This window comes from Homo sapiens, chromosome 16 (assembly GCF_000001405.40).
Source record: "Homo sapiens chromosome 16, GRCh38.p14 Primary Assembly".
Classification (NCBI taxonomy): Eukaryota; Metazoa; Chordata; class Mammalia; order Primates; family Hominidae; genus Homo; species Homo sapiens.
The window spans coordinates 56,559,422-56,577,579 of NC_000016.10; the positions used below are offsets into that span (position 1 = coordinate 56,559,422).

Genomic DNA, 18,158 nt, shown 5'->3' on the forward strand with positions numbered 1-18,158 from the left:
ACCATTGCACTTCTTCACACTGATTAGATGGGCACACTTTTCAAAGTCTGAATAAAGGAAGTATCGGAGGAGGTACTGGGGAAATAGGGACTCTCAGAAATTGCTAGAAGGAGCATAAATTGGCATAGGATCTTTGGAGATCAATTGCCCCATACAACCTAGCCATCCTTCTAGGGAGGAATGAACACTCATCTGCGTGGCGTGAACGAGGCTACTCCTTGCAGCATTTTTGTAATAGAGGATACGTGGAAGCAAGTTAAATGTCAGTAGGGGAATGGATAAGTAAAATATGGCATATTCATACAATATGATATTATAATCAGGCATCAGCATAGATAGATCTCAAAAACATAATGATGGGGCTGGGCATGGTGGCTCACGCCTGTAATCCCAGCACTTTGTGGGGCTGAAGCGGGCGGATCACCTGAGGTCAGGCATTCAAGACAAGCCTGGCAAACATGGTGAAACCCCGTCTCTACTAAAAATACAAAAATTAACTGGGCATGGTGGCTGGAGTCTGTAATCCCAGCTACTTGGGAGGCTGAAGTAGGAGAATCGCTCGAACCTGGGAGGTGGAGGTTGCAGCGAGCCGGGATTGCGCCACTGCACTCCAGCCTGGGCAACAGAGCGAGACTCCACCTCAAAAAAGCAAAAAACAAAAAAACCATAATGATGGAAGGAAAAAACAGTTGTGGAACAATATTTATGTTATGGTACCACTTATGTACTTTTTAAAAACCTATAAAGCAATACTGTATATATGTATACACATATATAAGAAAATAATAAAAACAAGAATGGGGAGAATACACATGAATTTTATCATTGGCTTCCTTTGGAGAGAGAGGGGAGTAGTCTGGGAAGAAATATAAAAGGAACTTCAATATATTACATTCAACAAATTGAGCCCCTGCTTTTTTCCAGGTACTTTTCTGGACACTGAGTGTATGGCAGTGAGCAAAACAGACCCAAATCCCTGCACATGTGAAGCTCACATTTTGGAAAAGGAGTCAGACAATAAACAAGGAAAATAAGCAAAATATATAGTATGTTTCATGGTGATAAGTACCAAAGAGGAAAAAGAAAGCAAAATGCCATGCACATAGTGTGGACATTTTAGATAAGGTGGCCAGAGATTACCTCACCTGAAGGAGAGGAAAAATATCTTCAGATAGCTCAAGCAGATATCTAGGGGAAGATGTTTTAGAGATGTGCAAAGGCCCTGGGGCTGAGGCATGATTGACAAGTTCAAGGACTAAGCAGGCAGAGAGGCTGGGAAGTGCCAAAGGCAGAGAGGGAACAGGGGCTGACCCGGTGGCCAAGAGCTTTTTTGTTTACTGAGTGAGATGGAAAGCTTCTAATGGATTCTGAGCAGAGCAGTGACACAATGTAACTTTTTTTTCTTTTATTTTTCTTTTTTTTGAGACAGAGTCTCGCTCTGTTGCCCAGGCTGGAGTGCAGTGGCAGGATCTCAGCTCACCACAACTTCCGCCTCCAAGATTCAAGCGGTTCTCCTGCCTCAGCCTCCAGAGTAGCTGGGACTACAGGCACACGGCACCATGCCCAGCTAATTTTTGTGTTTTTAGCAGAGACGGGGTTTCGCTATGTTGGCCAGGCTGGTCTCGAACTCCTGACCTCATGTTCCACCCACCTCGGCCTCCCAAAATGCTGGGATTACAGGCATGAGCCACCATGCCTGGCTGTAACTTTTATTTTAATAGAATCACTCTGAGTGTTGTGTGGCTAATTAGAGGGTTTGGAGAGAGGTAAAAAGGACAGAAAAAAGGGCAGAGGTGGGCAGGCCAATTAGGAAACAAGTGCTGAGTCTAGGGGGGATGATGGTGGCTGGAATCAGGTGGCAGCCATGGAGGCAGACAAGACTGTGGGAGGATCTAGCAGGAGGTAAGCAGGAGCAGGAGCTCAGTTGGGGACAGGAGGAATTTGAGATGCTGTTTGACATTCACATGGAGGTGTGGAGTAGCAGCCAGGCTATGAGATTGGAGATCGGAAGAGAGGCTGGGTTGAAAGCATAAGTTGGGGGCAACCAGCCCATAGGTGGTGTTTAGAGCCATTAGCCTGTTAATTTATTTATTTAGTTATTTATTTTTGAGATAGAGCCTTGCTCTGTCACCCAGGCTGAAGTGCAGTGGTGCAATCATAGTTCACTGCAGCCTTGAATTCCTGGGCTCAAGCAATCTTCTCACCTCAGCCTCCCAAGTAGCTACGACTACAGTCACACGCCATCACACCTGGCTTTTTTTCTTTTTTTTTTTTTTTTTTTTTTTTTTTTTTATTTAGTAGAGACAACGTCTTGCTATGTTGGCCAGGGTGGTCTCGAACTCTTGAGCTCAAGTGATCCTGCCGTCATGGCCTCCCCAAGTGCTGGGATTACAGGCATGAGCCACCGTCCTCAGCCCTGTTAAATTTTTATTTCTTATAATTAAAAGAGCTGAAGTAAATAGGGCAGTGTCAACATCTGTTAATTCTGGGTGGTAGATACAGTGGTGTTTGGAATACTTTTCTTTGTACTTTTTAGTATCTTTGAACTTTTTTCTAACAAAAAATTAATTAATAAACAGCTTATAAAGCCACAGAGGCTTTAATGTGCTGAACCATTCTGTCACGAGGGCTTCGGACGTAAGGCATGACTGCCAGCAACAAGTTGAGAAGTCAAATTCAAATATCCCCTGTCACCAACCTAAGCTCAGTGGCAGGGCTTGGCCCCATCTCTCTGGGCTCCTGTTTTCCTATTTGGACAACAAGGGGCTGACTTCCGACTTATCAGGGTTCTTCTAGTGCTGATCATCTAGGAGTCAAGCTGGTGCCCCACAGGCCACTCTGCCCACTCTGATTTTACCCCCACGCTCTCCTGCCTAATCCTATATATAAGGCCAGAAATACCCCCAAGAGAGGCCTCTGTAGGTGAAAGGTCAACTTTGCCTCCAAACAAACAGAAACTGCAGCAAAGAGAATCAGAAAGGACAGTGCCCCGTGCTCTCTTGGCCCTGGGACCCAAAAGTTAAGTTGAGTGTAAAAGCTGGGAGCCCCGAGACTAAAAACGCCACAGTATTTATGGCTGATGAATGCATCCTGCTCAGGACTGCAGAACCATGTGGGGATCTACGAGCCTGAAACATACAAATGGGTGGGTGGCCAAACCAAACTACCAATTTGTATTAGACACAGATTGTGATAATCATATTAATAGTAATAATGTTGGTGATAATAATGTTGCGCCAGATTTTGAACTCAGTGCTTAATATATGTTCTCTCATTTGACCTCCACAACAACAGTGCTGTAGGGTTGTCATTTGCACGAGCTAGATTTTGCAGATCAGGAAACTGAGACTCAGAGAAGTCAAGCAGCTTGAACTCCTGGGCTCAAGCAATCCTTCCGCTTCAGCCTCCCAAGGTGCTGGGATTACAGATATGAGACACCACATCTGGCCTGGTTTTGATATTATCATTTAGTTGGGGCCTTAAGCAACTTCACACTGTCCATCATCCAAGGAAAAAGCGATTCCTGGCCTAGGCAGAGGAGGGAGAAAGATGGCTTCAATAAGGGTGAAGGGAAATCGCTTCCTCTCTCTGGTCTCACTTGGTTAGGCCAGACCCTCTAAACCATTAATACTTGCTGGAGGGCAGCCCAAGAGGTGGAGGAGGCTGGGCCTGCCACGAGAGATGTGCCGGAACTGGGCTGGGGGTGCAAGCCCGGGAAGATGGATCCAGCTTCAAGACTCTGGGAGCAGCCACACCTGGTCATGGGTCTCCTGGACTGAGATGTCCTCCCAAACTTCTGAACCATAAACTACTTTTACTCATCATTGGCTCCCCAGTGCCCAGCACAGTGCCTGGCCCTTGGAGGGTGATAAATGAATACATGTCCCCTACTAGGCTGTGAACTCCTTTAAGGGAGGCACCACTTGGGGATCACTACAGTATTGCCCCCTCCTCCCCTCCCCAGTGCCTGCCACAGTGACCTGCTGATGACCATGGATCCAAATCCCTTTCTCCTCGTTAGAAGCTCTCAGTCCAAAATCCGTGGTTCCATGGGTCAGACTGAGGCCCAGGTGGTCCTTATGGGTGAATGATGGAGACCCCACCAAGCTGAGAACTGGGAGGAATGATCTCCACTGTTTATGGCCAGGCCGGTTTTTTGCCTTTCTGAATGGCAACGGCATATTTCAGCAGAGGTCCTCAGTAGAGCCACATGCAGGAGATACATGCATTTGTCCACTCGTCACTCACTTAGTCATTTGTTCACTTATATATCCACTCTCTCACTCATGCCTTCAGTCATTTGATTACTCATCTGATTAATTCATCCATTCATCCAACATTGTGCAGAACATTGAACAGGTTTAGAGATGCTTCAGGCACAGTTTTTTTACCTGAGAGCTCCCAGATTGGGGCGAGAAAGGTAAGAGCCATGAAGACAAATAATCATACAGCAGCTTAGCAAGTAGTAAATGTCATGAGAAATGTACAGACACATCAGCCAAGGGATACAGAGAGAGAGATTTCTCCCAACTAAGAAAGGGAGTGATCAGAGGTAGCTTCCTGGAGGAAGTATAATCAGCACCAGCTCCAGAATTTCTCCATGGCGATTGGGTACGGATGGCAGCTTGTCAGGGAAGCTAGTAGCTGCATCCTCTACAGGGCACTTTACAAAAGACTGAAAGATAGGCCGGGCACAATGGCTCACGCCTGTAATCCCAGCACTTTGGAAGGCCGAGGTGGGCAGATCACTTGAGCTCAGGAGTTCAAGACCAGGCTGGGCAACATGGCAGAACCCCATCTCTAATACACAAAAAAATTAGCCAGGTGTGGGGGCTTGTGCCTGTGGTTTCAGCTATTCAGGAGGCTGAGGTAGGAGGATCCTTTGAACCCGGGAGGTAGAGGTTGCAGTGAGCCGAGATCGTGCCACTGCACTCTAGCCTGGGCAACAGAATGCAACCCCAACTCAAAACAAACAAACAAACTGAAAAGTAGTCAGCTGCCCATACCAAAGATTGGGGTTATAATGGAGATGAAGAGGTGGTTAAATCTCTCCCAAGTCCCCTCTTGCTGCTTCTGCTTTGTGTGTGGTCTAGAAGGAAAGGTTGCATGTTCTGGATGGGCACAACTCCCTGATTTTCCACCCTCTCACTCATGGGGAGGGTGCAGTCAGTAGAGGTTCTTGGTGGGAACTTCTAAATCTCAGGGCCAAGGATAGAGGCCCCTGCCTGCCCATAGTAAGGGCTTTTACAGTCAACCAGGGAGATAGGATGAGGCCCCGAGCCGAGGCAGGAGGAGCCCCTGTGAAGGAGGGAACAGAAATGGCAGATAATAGAATGCATAGGACTTGGAGACAGGGTGGACGTAGCTGCCAACCTGAGCTCCATGTGTGCATTTCAGCCTGAGCCTGGTTCCCTGAAACCTTGCCAGGCGGGCAGGTGAGGTGGGTGCAGCCACCTGCACCCCTGGTGAAAAGCCACCCAAATGACCGTACTGCTCGGCCTCTCCTCTGCCCTCCTCCGCCTGCTCTTCCCAACTCCCAGCCCAAGGCATCTGGCTGGGCCGTGTGCAGGGCGTCTGGCCCCAGGGAGAGGTGGGGTGAGCTGCAGACTACACCCACATGGCTATAAATGGGGAGCCTCTGGCTGCTGCTCACTCAGCCTCCCTTCCCCAGCCGTGACAGCACTGGAGCCTTTCGGACACCTGGACCATGGACCCCAGGGAATGTGTCTGCATGTCTGGTGAGTAAAGAAGCCCTCCCTGGGGTCTGGGAACCTTGGACCAGCTTCCTACAGGGAGCCTGCAGGTCCCTGATGAAAACTTCTCTTCCCTCTAATTAGGAGCCACCAATGGGGTTCGTCCTGGGAGCCGACAGGTGGACTGGCCACCTCTGGGGCAGCTCCCACTCTCTGTTGGCTCCCAGCCTGATTTTCTAGAATCGATATCCTAGCTCAGGGAATGGCTGAGAGGGGGACTTGCAAACTTTGGTCTTTCTAGCGTTGGCCCCTAAGGGCAGTCACCAGGGTGAGGAGAAGAGCTCTAAACCAGAATCTGGCAACCTGGTTTGGGTCCATTGCTGCGGTCCCCTCCCTGGCGCTTATTCTTTCTGGTCCTCAGTTTCCTCACCTGTAGACTGAGGTTCCTTATTCCCAGCCAACCACATCCCAGAGCTGCTATGAAAGTGCTAAAACCATTAAGCACCTGCAGATGTCAGGGGAGTTGTGGACTCCCCTAACTTATGTGGACTCTTGAGTCTCTGAAACTGCTTAATTCCACGGAGCATGTTAGCCAGAAGGAGAGAAATCAGGGTTCAAAGCCATCCTGGGCTTTTACAATCATGGAAATGGTATGAAGAAGTCTCACAAGTCTGGGTGGTGTGGCTCACAACTGTAGTCCCAGCACTTTGAGGCTGAGGCAGGAGAATCACTTGAGGCCAGGAGTTCAATACCAGCCTGGGCAACATAGCGAGACTCCATGTCTACAAATTTTTTTTAAACTTAGCTGGGCGTAGTAGGGTGCACCTTAGTCCCAGCTACTCAGGACGCTGAGAAGGGAGGATCACTTGAGCCCAGGAGTTCGAGGCTGCAGCAAACTAGGAATGCACCACTGCACTCCAGCCTAGGTAATAGAGCAAGACCCTTTCTCAAAAAAAAAGAAGAAAAGAAAAAGAAAGAAAGAAAATGAAGTCTCACAAGACTCCCTTGTCCTTAACAGGATGTCTCTGTACCAAAAACTTGCAAAAGAGGCAGAAGCTTCCAGCATTTTGAAACTCAAAATGAAAAATGGGATAATTTTTTTAAGTGTAGATGATCATTATGATATAAAAACAAGGTGCTGGCTCCCATCTGTAATCCTGGCACTTGGGGAGTCCAAGGCAGGATGATCACTTATGCCCAAGGAATTTGAGACCAGCCTGGGCAATATAACAAGGCCCTGTTTCTACAAAAACTTTAAACAATTAGCCAGGTGTGGTGGTGCGTGCCTGTGGTCCCAGCTACTCAGGAAGCTGAGGCAAGAGCTTGAGGCTACAGTGAGCTGTGTTCCCACCATGGTGCTCCAGCCTGGGTGACAGGGCAAGACCCTGTCAAAAGAAAGGAAGAAAGAACGGAAGGAAAGAAGGAAAGAAGGAAAGAAACAAGGAGAGAGAAAGGGAGAAAGGGAGAAAGGAAGAGAGAGAGAGAGAAAGAGAGAAAGAGAAAGGGAGAAAGGGGGAGAGAGAGAGAGAAAGAGAAAAGAGAGAGAAAGACAGGGAGAAAGAGAAAAAGAAAAGAAAGAAAGAAAGAGAAAGAAAGAAAGAAAGAAAGAAAGAAAGAAAGAAAGAAAGAAAGAAGGAAGGAAGGAAGGAAGGAAGGAAAGAAAGAAAGAAAGAAAGAAAGAAAGAAAGAAAGAAAGAAAGAAAGAAAAGAAAGAAAGAAAGAAAGAAAGAAAGAAAGAAAGAAATGAGGGAGAGAGGAAGGAAGGAAGAAAGGAAAGGAAGAAACAAACAAAACAAGGTGTGGCTCTGTGGCTCTTGTTTTGAGTTCACTGACGTTCCTTGACCTTTCTTAAACCATTCACAGTTTTCATCTTGACTTGTGAAGGTGACACGGGTGTGAAAGGGGTTTTTGTTTGTTTGTTTGTTTTAAGGCAGAGTCTCACTCCATCACCCAGGCTGGAGTGCAGAGGTGTGATCTCGGCTCACTGCAACCTCCATCTCCCAAGTTCAAGAGATTCTCGTGTCTCAGCCTCCCTAGTAGCTGAGATTACAGGTGTGTGCCACCACGCCTGGCTAATTTTTTTTTTTCTCGTAGAGATGGGGTTTCTCCATGTTGGCCAAGCTGATCTCAAACTCCAGGCCTCATGTGATTCACCTGTCTTGGCCTCCCAAAGTGCTGGGATTACAGACGTGAGCCACTGTGCCTAGCCAAGAGGGTGTGAAAGGCTTTGATAGTTCTTAGAGGAACCTTGGGCTTGGAAACGCTGGCCTCGTCTGTTGGTTCTCATTGTACATAAGAATTATTTGGGTTGCTTTTCAAAAATATGGACTCCATTTCCCCACCAAGACTTATGAATCAGAACATCTCAAGGGTTGGTCCCAGGAATCTGCATTTTCACAGTTATCCCAGGCATGATTGATGCAGCCATGCCAGTTCCCATCCATGGCCTGTGACTGTGGACTATTGCAGAGTCCTTGACACTGGGTCGATGCTCAGCAGCCTTGTCACCCTCTTGTCCAGCCAGTCCCCAAGGATATAGCCCAGGAGCCTTGCCACTCTGACAGTCGGCATCATGCCTTATGTTCCCCACTCCATCTCCATCCTCACGTTTGTGGTGGCTCTGTCCTGTCTTCTAGGAGGAATCTGCATGTGTGGAGACAACTGCAAATGCACAACCTGCAACTGTAAAACATATTGGAAGAGTGAGTATGGTGACTGGGGGCACCATGGGCTGGGAGTTAGAAAAGTCCAATCCAGGCCAGGTGCAGTGGCTCACGTCTGTAATCCCAGCACTTTGGGAGGCCGAGGCGGGTGGATTACCTGAGGTCAGGAGTTCAAGACCAGCCTGGCCAACATGGTGAAACCCCATCTCTACTAAAAATACAATAATTAGCTGGGCATGGTGGTGGGCACCTGTAATCCCAGCTACTCAGGAGGCTGAGGCAGGAGAATTGCTTGAACCCAGGAGGCAGAGGTTGCAGTGAGCAGAGATCACACCATTGCACTCCAGCCTTGGTGACAAGAGTGAAACTCAGTCAAAAAAGAAAAGGAAGGAAGGAAGAAAGGAAGGAAGGAAGGAAGGAAGAGAGAGAGAGAGAGAGAAAGAAAGAAAGAAAGAAAGAAAGAAAGAAAGAAAGAAAGAAAGAGAGAGAGAGAGAGAAAGAAAGAAAGAAAGAAAGAAAGAAAGAAAGAAAGAAAGAAAGAAAGAAAGAAAGAAAGAAAGATCCCATCCCCACCCTCAATCCTCCAGCCATGGTGGATTGGGGCTTGTGGGGAGGGGGTCTAGATGCCTTTTACCCATCTGGGAGAGATCTGAAATGAGAACTATGTAGAGACCTATGGCAGGTCTCTACCCAGGGATAAGGGCATCCACAGTGTTTGGAGCAGGAAGAGGACTGAGGGGAAGTTCTGTCCTGCCCAGTGGTAACAGGGATAGAGCACTGGCCTGGAGTCATGAGCCCTAGGTTCTAGTCTTGCTTTTGCCACTGTCTCATGACCTTGGCAAACCCCCTCCCTTCTGTGGGCTTCTGATGGACTCTAGATGGTCCCTGGGATCCCTTCCAGTTCTAACATGCCTCAACCTCCTATCTCAGCATTTTTGCTAATGTGGATTGAAACCTCATGCACACACCCCTCTTTTCCTACTTCCTCTAAGTAGTGGGAGGGGCAGTGGTGAGATGGAAGTGTTGACCCACAGCGGATCTGCGCATCTCCTGACTCTTTCAGGCTGCTGTCCCTGCTGCCCCCCGGGCTGTGCCAAATGTGCCCGGGGCTGCATCTGCAAAGGAGGCTCAGACAAGTGCAGCTGCTGCCCATGAAAGCCATCCATCGTGCCCACCCCTTCCAAGGAGAGAAACCTGGGAAGTGTCTGTACAGTGCATGAATCGAGAAGGTGGAATAATTGTACAATAGGTTGTGCTTTTTATATATTTGCCCAAATGTGGTGTTGGTCACATTCATGTAAAGTACTTGGGGCAATAAAGTTTTCACTCTTGGTTGCCTGGTGGCTCAGAGCATTGTTTTACCCTAACCCAGCAGGACCAAAAGGTGCTGCTTCTGTTGCAGATCCTGTAACCACCACCCACATGTACCTGTGACAGGTGGCTGCCTACTGCAAGGTCCTATGACTCTGCCTGGGGGCTTTCTCCTCCTGCACAAGCTTGCTTGACCCATGCACAGGGCAGGCCAGGAGTACGGAGGAGCTAAAGTCACTGGGAACAGCCCTTAGCCAATGACAACTGTAGGTCGGTGGGTAAATATCCCAGCATCTTTACCCCTCAAAAGGAACAACTCTGAGACTCATTCTATGCTGTCTCCCAGAAGTCTCTAGAAGCACTGAGCTTCAAAAGCTCACAGCAGTAACCTGCTCATTAATGTAACCTACGGTGGCCTCCTTCCTTGCCTCACCTCCCCAGTTCCCCACCATTGCTTTCTGGGATCTCCACCCAAAGAAACTACTTGTACAGGGTCCGCTTTCTGGGTAACCTAATCTTGGCCAGGCTCTCCTGGCATAGCCCAGAATGCCTCATTGTGCAAATGTGGCTGTTTAATGGGCTTGAGCATGGAATCAGTCATGAACGGAGGCTGTGTGTATCTAAAGGAAATCTCCAAGGTCAAGACATTGAGGGCATTAGCTGCCCTGGTTTGGTTATTTGGATCAGTCTTTAGGACTGGATGACCTGGAAGGCATGAACCAGGAAGAAGATGGTGGTGGAGGTGCAGAAACAGCATCCTAAGCAGACCCCCTAGGAGATGACTTTTTGGCTAAACAGCTGAGAAAGCTGAAGTCCCTGGAGGTTGGCACTGGGGACTGGGGGTGATCCCCAGCTCTCACCCACACCACCATCCTCAACACAGCTGAAGACAAACCCAAGCTCTGAGATCATTTTCATTCATGCCATCAAGGGCCTGAACTAGGGCCCATCAGAGACCAGAGCGGCCTCCTCCTCCACCAGCCTCTGTCAAGCAACCATCAGATACAGGAGTGGGTGAGAATAGAGCCTTTGCCAAGGTCACAGAGCAGCCCCAGGTTGGGCTGGGCTCAGCTAGCAGGATTTACTGCATGCTTCCTGGAACTGATCACTTTCATAATCCACACTGTCATTATCCCTGTTTGGAACTTAGCTGGGGCTTCCCTAGGAAGATTTTCACCCTCTGTCCATGAGTTGTGCCTTAGACACAGAATCATAGTGCAGTGGAAACAGCTTGGCCCTGGGAGTCAGACACTCTACCCCTCCCTGGCAACATGACCTTGACCAAGTCATTTAACCTTTTGAGGCTCAGTTTCCTAATCTGTGAAATGCGTCTCCTTCACAGAGTTGTAGAGAGAAACTGTAGCACAGAATCTGTGCACATAGCAGTGCCCCATTAACATAGATTTTAGCAGAGCTACAGCCTGTCCTAGCCTTCTGTTTATTGATCTCTGAAAAGGCCCCTACCAAGCCATTCTCTGTCATTGCAGAGCTCTTAAGCACCTTGAGAAGGACACAACGCAAGGGATTATACCTTCCAGCGGACAGAACAGTCCCTTGTGCCTCCAGCAAGCAGGTTGGACACTCACCCTGCAACCTCGGCCTCGGTACCCACTGGGATGCCAACTCATCTCATCCAAATGCCTTTAGAGTTGGTACTTCTGCACGATCTCACTTACTCCCATCACAACCTTGAAAAGGAGATTCAGCCTTCAGATTCTTATATTAATAATAATAATATTAACAACTAATAGTTATTGAGCACTTAATATGGATTCAACACCTAATAAGTGCCAAGCATTGTCCTAAGCAGTTTATAAACATCATTTCATGGACTCTGCACTATCAGGACCACTTCAGAGCCAGACAACCAGGGCCCTGCTCTGGGCCCTCTGCCTTAGAGGACCTGGTCTTCCTGTCCCCACAGGAGAGGAGTCCGAGGGTCCCACGAGATCTGTCCAACTAGAACTCATGCTCATTCCTCCCCCAAGTCCCCCATCTAGCACCATCTAGACAATGCTTTGGGTACCTGGGACCCCAAAGGCTAGTTCTAGGGTCTGCGTAGGCCCCCTCTCCCAGCAGTCTGTCCTTCCCTAAGGTGCACCATGTCATCAGTCTGTACACTCCTGGGCCCGAACGATGGCCAAGGGTAGAGGTATTCAGAGACGGGAGGATGTGTGAATAGAGATTGGACACATGAGTTTTTATGTCTACATAGAGTGGAGAAGTCAGTGTGGGAAGAGCAGGGGGTGAAGTGCACCTAGGCCTCCATTCTTGCTTTTGCCCCAGGCTCTGCAAGTGTTAGGGGCAGGCCTGCACTAACAACCCTAGAAGACAATCCTGTTACATAATAGGATCCTGTTAGATCCCCCACTTTGCAGATGGAGATGCTGAGGCTCCAGGAAAGTCAATGGCTGAAAGTCACAAGACTTCCAGGGGGCAGAACTGGGAACTGAGCTCAGGTCTGCCTGACCCAGAGGCCATGCTCTTGTCTATGCGATATGGATGAGGCAGAGAGGAGGCTGCAGGCAATGCTGCCCCAGACCCAGGGGCGAAGAGTCTTTGCCTGGGGCCTTGTACTTTAGAGAGCACACACACCACAAGCACACAAATGTGTTAAGGCAGCGGCCCCCGACCTTTTTGGCACCAGGGACCAGTTTCGGTGGAAGACAACTTTTCCACGGACAGTGCAGTGGGGCAGCGCGAGATGGTTTTCGGATGAAACTGTAGTTAGATTCTGATAAGTAGCTCAAACCTAGATTCCTCGCACGTGCAGTTCACAATAAGGTTCTCATTCCAATGGAATTCCAATGCCACTTCTGATCTGACAGGAGGCAGAGCTCAGACGGTAACATTCACTTGCCCCGCGGCCTGGTTCCTAACAGGTCACAGAGCAGTACTGCAGTCAGGGATTTGGGGAAGCCCATATTAAATAATACTTGGGGCCCCTGTCACTCAGGATCTTGTATTTGCCGTTACAGTGTGATCAAGTAATCCTAAACATCTTCTCTGGTTACTAACACTGTTCAGGCCCTGGGGAAACACTTCTCCATCTCTTGCTCTGTGTCCTCAAAACAAAGAGTGACGATATTTGAATGGCAGGATGGTTTTATAGATTGTCCCAATGCTGATGTCAGAGATAGACACAGTCTTCAAAGTACAGGGAGGATTTAAGTGTAGAAATTAGAAAAAAGACAAATTAACAAACTCATCAAATCCTCCTCAAAAAGCATGAACGCAACAGACTCTCATGTCACACCATCATTTCCCATGAGTGTGACTTGTCCATTTTCTTGCTTTTCTTTGTGTTCCAATTTGTGTTTCCAGAATATTTATGATTTTATGCTAATTGCAGAAGCTGCACAAGGCAACTGAGGAATGTTTTGTAATATTAAGCAATTCATATTATTCATATAAATTCATATTACTCTTAAATTGGTGTAGATAGAGCTATAGCTACAGATAAATATACAGATATACATACTATGGACTGAATGTCTGTGTGCCCTCAAAATTCGTATGTTGAAGCCTAAATCCCCAATGTGATGGTATTTGGAGGAGGGGCTTTTAGGAGGTAATTAGGTTGTAAGGCAGAGTCCTCATGAATAGAATCAGTGCCCTTATAAGAAGAGATGGGCCAGGCCCAGTGGCTCATGCTTATAATCTCAGCACTTTGGAAGGCCAAGGCAGGCAGATTGCTTGAGCCCAGGAGTTCGGGACCAGCCTGGGCAACATCTCTAAAAAATCTCTAAAAAAAATACAAAAATTAGCCAGGCATGGTGGCACACACCTGTAGTCTCAGCTACTCAGGAGGCTGGGGTGGAAGGATTGCTTAAGTCCAGGAGGCAGAGGAGGAGGTTGCAGTGAGCTGTGTTTTTGCCACTGCACTCCAGGCTGGGCAATAGAGTGAGACCCTGTCTCAAAAAAAAAAAAAAAAAAAGAGGCATGAAGTGATCTCTCTGTCTTTCTTTTCACTGTATGTGAGGATACAAACAGAAAACGGCCACCTATAAACAAGAAAGTGGGCTCTCACCAGACACCAGATATGTCTGTGCCTTGATCTTGGATTTTCCAACCTCCAGAACCATGAGAAATAAATTTCTGTTGCTTAAGCCACCTAGTCTATAGCATTCTGTTATAGCAGCCTGAATTGACTAAGACATACATAAATATGTGAGCTATACCTTTCTATATGTAGATAGAATTTTTAAATATTTCAACTGGATGAACATCAAGTTCTAGAACAATGAATCATTTTATTTTAATAAAAATATTTAATAAAATTTCATTAAATCCTTAAGAAATTAAATAGGCCAGGCGTGGTGGCTCAAGCCGGTAATCCCAGCAGTTTGGGAGGTCAAGGTGGGCAGATCACCTGAGGTCAGGAATTGAATACCAGCCTGGCCAACATGGTGAAACCCCATCTCTACTAATAATATAAAAATTAGCTGGGCATGGTGGTGCATGCCTGTAATCCCAGCACCTTGGGAGGCCAAGGTTGGCGCATCACTTGAGATCAGGAGCTCAAGACCAGCCTGGGCAACATGGTGAAACCCTGTCTCTACAAAAATACAAAGCTTAGCTGGGCATGGTGGCACGTGCCTGTAATCCCAGCTACTCAGGAGGCTGAGGCAGGAGAATCGCTTGAACCTGGAAGGCAGAGGTTGCAGTGAGCTGAGATCTCGCCATTGCACTCCAGTCATAGCGACAAGAGTGAAACTCCGTCTCAAAAAAAAAAAAAGGAAGAAAGAGAAAGAAAGAAAGAAATTAAATAATACAGGACATTGAAGCTGGATGGAGAAACGTAGATGATCTTGGCGGCTTTCTTAAGCACGTGCATCTCTGGGATGACCACTTCGGCTGCCTCATAACAGTAGAAAAATAAACCCCTATTTAGGGTTTCAGCCACTGTTCAGCTAAAAGCAATCTGATATATTGTACAAACATGAGTAAGTCTTCCATGCTCTGTCTCTTAAGTTGTTATGAAATTTGGAATAAAATAAAATTTGAAATAAAATGTCAAATAAAATTTTAAAGCCAGATGTGGTGGCTCATGCCTGTAATCTCAGCACTTTGGGAGGCTAAGGCAAGAGGATCGCTTGAGCCTAGGAGTTTGAGGCTGTAGCAAGCTATGATCATGCCACTGCACTCCAGCCTGACGCAGTAAGAGCCTGTCTCTAAAAAATAATAATAAAAAAATTAATAAATCATTTTTACAATATTATGATTATGTAAGTACTGTTTACTGGAGAGCCAAGGATAAATGGATCCACAAAGAAGAATATGTAACTCAATAAACGTGGGCCGCTTAGAGAAAGAAGTTAAGGTCTTTCAGAATTTGTCTAGCAGATTTTCTGCTTCTCACCAGAAAACCCATAAAAAAATAGAAATAAAAGAAAGAAGAATATTCTCTTCTGAGACTTGCTCAGAATCAGGTCACATTTTAGTTTGCTTACAATTTGGACTATTATTTCCTTACGGGACTTTTATGTTTTTCCTGGCATTTCAACTGTCTTTTTTCCCCCTTGTATAGGCACATGGGCAGATATGTCTTTTTTACTCTATCATTAAGATAATTCCATTTTTAATCACGCTATTTGTTGAGTGATCTAATATTCACTGACTTGTTTCCAGATCTGCTATACAACTGTCATTCTGAGATGTATTTTCATTGCTCTCCTAGTTTAGAACCATTGCTTCTTGGATTCCCCTATCATGCTCTATTTTGGACTCCTTTTCATTTTGCTGGAGTACATCCTCAAGCAATTTTTTACCAAAAGGATGAATTAGGAGAAACTTCAGAGTCCCTAAATGTCAGAAAATATCTTTATTTTTCTCTCATGCCTTACTGACAGTTTGATTGGATATCAGTTTAAGTTCAATATCATTTTCTCTTAGCACTTTTGAAGGCATTGCTCCATGTCTTCTGAGAGTCAGTGTTGCTGTTGTGAACACCAACATTACCCGCCTTTTATTTCTCACTGGAAGCTTTTGGGTGTTTAACTTATCATTGGCACTCTAGGATATGTAGTATGGGTCCAAATTTGAATGTTCTTTTTTTCATTCAACCTGCTCTGTGTTTGCTAGGCCTTTTCATTCTGAAGACTGACTTTTTCCCCCTAAAGTCTTGGAAAACGATTATTTCTTTAGTAATTTTCACCCCTCCATTCCATTTTCTCTTCCAAAACTCCTATCAGTGGTTACTGGTTTTCCTGGATCAATCCTCTATGTCTCAAAATATTTTCCTTTAGTATGCATCTATTTCTGTCTTTCTGTGTGTATGTGTCTCTCTCTCTTTCACCTCTTTAAGTGGGACATTAGAAAAGTACTTTTTGTAGTACTTTCACTGATGTTTAAAAATTTTGTCAACTATACTTAAATATATAAGGGCCTCTTCTTCTTTGAATGTCTCTTCATCATAATATTCTGTTTTTATTTTATGAGTGGAGTTTTTGTTTTTGTTTTTGTTTTTGTTTTGAGACAGAGTGTTGTTCTTGTTGCTCAGGCTGGAGTGCAATGGTGCGATCTTGGCTCACTGAAACCTCCGCCTCCTGGTTTCAAGCGATTCTCCTGCCTCAGCCTCCCGAGCAGCTGGGACTACAGGCATGTGCCACCACTCCTGGCTAATTTTGCATTTCTTTTTTAGTAAAGACGGGGTTTCTCCATGTTGGTCAGGCTGGTCTCGAACTCCCGACCTCAGATGATCCACCCGCCTCTGCCTCCCAAAGTGTTGGGATTACAAGCCTGAGCCACCGCACCCAGCCTGGAGTTATTTCTTGAATCACTCTGATGAGTTAAACGGTTTTAATTTCTTATTGTTTTCTCTTTTTTTGGAGGTCCAAACAAATATTTATTAAATTCCTATTATAAGCCAGATTTTATACTCTGACCTAGGGATAATATATTGTTAAGTTTTCCTTGAATTATTTCTGCTTCTTTGAGCTGAAAGCAGACTCTGTGGGTGAGTGGAGTTTGCTGACTGGCAAGCTTGGTTTTAGCATGCCCAGGTGGGGAGATGGTAGCCAAGTTTGGCCACCCCTTGGGGTCAAAACAAGAAGGGTCATCTTCTGTGGAGTTGACCCACCTCTGGAAGCCCTGGCTCCTCCTAGGCTGGTTATTCGATTTCTTCAGAGAAAATCTTGCAGTCTCAGACCGGGGGAAAATGGTGGGGCTGCCCAAACTAGGGTACAGGAGGTAAGTGTGACAAACACATGTCAGTTCTACAGCCAGACCTTCCATTAGCTGCCATCTTGGTTTTTACTCCTCCTTCCTCTTCTGCTTTCTTAGCCTCACCTCACCCCACCAAAATAAAACAAAGCACCCCAAAATCTCCTATAGACTTCCGCACTTCTTGATTTGAGCTGTGGCTTTCTCTACTCCCATTTACCCATAAATGTGATTTAACTCATTCCAGTATTCCAGAAATGGTAAAATCTCTGATCTCTTGATGTACTGTCCAAGCCATCTCCCCCAACACAGCTCTTTTATTGGTTTTTCTTTTTTCCTCTTTATCCTTCCTTACTTTCTTTCAGTGTATACTCAGGAGGAGGAGAGGAAAATCCATGTGCTCGGCCTCTCATCTTTAGCCAAAAATCTGAGCCAGACTTTTCATTGGTAGGATTTTGAATCTTTACAATAACTCTGCAGGATAGAGATTATTGTCCATTCCACAGGTGAGGAAAACTGAGACTCAAGGAAGTGAGAGACCTTGTCCCAAGCTCAAGCAGAACTAGCTGGTAGAGAAGCTTGAAGGCCATGAGGGAAGGTGAGATGGAGGGGAAGAAAGGCCACAGGGATAAGTGAGCAGAGCGGCTACGTGTGGCCCTGAGGGATAACACTTGAGCATTAAGAGGAAACACCAAGGAAACAGATTTTAGGTCAAGAAAAAGAAGAGCTCTCTCATGTCAGAGCAGCCTAGAGCAGGAAAGTGCTGTGTCAGGAGGCTGACACGTCATGGCTTGTGTTCCTGTACTGCCTAAGGCACAATGGCAACCTCAGAAAGGCTGTGACCCACTCTGCACCTGCTCAGGCCATACCTGGACTGGGGTGGAGGCCAGAAGAGGGTGTGGTGAGGAGGGAGGAGGAGCCCAGATCACAGGACAGGAAGGCAAAGTCCTCAGGTGGGCTGTAGGGGGCGCTCCAGGCCCAGAGACGGGGCAGCAGGAATCATCTGCGTTTTGAGGGCGGATGTTCTCACTTCACTCTGGCTGCTGTTGGGGCCCAAGAGAGCCTAGAAAAGTCCTGGGACCTTCAGACATGGCTGCTGGGAGGACAAATCAGGACAAGCTCTCCAAGGGCTCACCAGGCCATAACAACGTGCAAATCACCCAGATTCACAAGGCATGGGCTTTTAAAATAATTTGGCAATATGAGCACATCAAAGAACCATAAAAACATTCTTCTTGCTTGACCCCGTCGTTTTACTTCTAGAAACCTATTCTAAGGAGTTCACCACAAATTCAGAAAAGAAGGAAAAAGAAGGCTGGGCACAGTG

General features: G+C 46.5%; 1 protein-coding gene and 1 non-coding gene across 2 annotated transcripts; both read left to right on the plus strand.

Moving 5' to 3' along the window:
* The first annotated feature begins 5,651 nt into the window (after positions 1-5,651).
* MT4 (metallothionein 4) lies at positions 5,652-9,536 on the plus strand. The gene is made up of 3 exons (NM_032935.3): positions 5,652-5,738; positions 8,330-8,395; positions 9,420-9,536. Exons 1-3 carry the CDS (start codon positions 5,708-5,710, stop codon positions 9,509-9,511), a joined length of 189 nt encoding a protein of 62 aa, NP_116324.2. The 5' UTR covers positions 5,652-5,707; the 3' UTR covers positions 9,512-9,536.
* Positions 9,537-14,979: 5,443 nt separating this feature from the next.
* Positions 14,980-15,041, plus strand: LOC124903782 (U7 small nuclear RNA). Its single transcript, XR_007065225.1, has one exon. It is a non-coding gene; the product is annotated as a U7 small nuclear RNA (small nuclear RNA).
* Positions 15,042-18,158: the final 3,117 nt, after the last annotated feature.

Excerpts from the sequence above, each read along its gene's own strand:
- MT4 (NM_032935.3), top strand. The coding sequence starts at position 5,708 with ATGGACCCCAGGGAATGTGTCTGCATGTCTG. Across the intron at positions 5,739-8,329 it reads GGAATGTGTCTGCATGTCTG|GAGGAATCTGCATGTGTGGA; the intron begins GTGAGTAAAGAA and ends CCTGTCTTCTAG. Across the intron at positions 8,396-9,419 it reads CTGTAAAACATATTGGAAGA|GCTGCTGTCCCTGCTGCCCC; the intron begins GTGAGTATGGTG and ends TGACTCTTTCAG.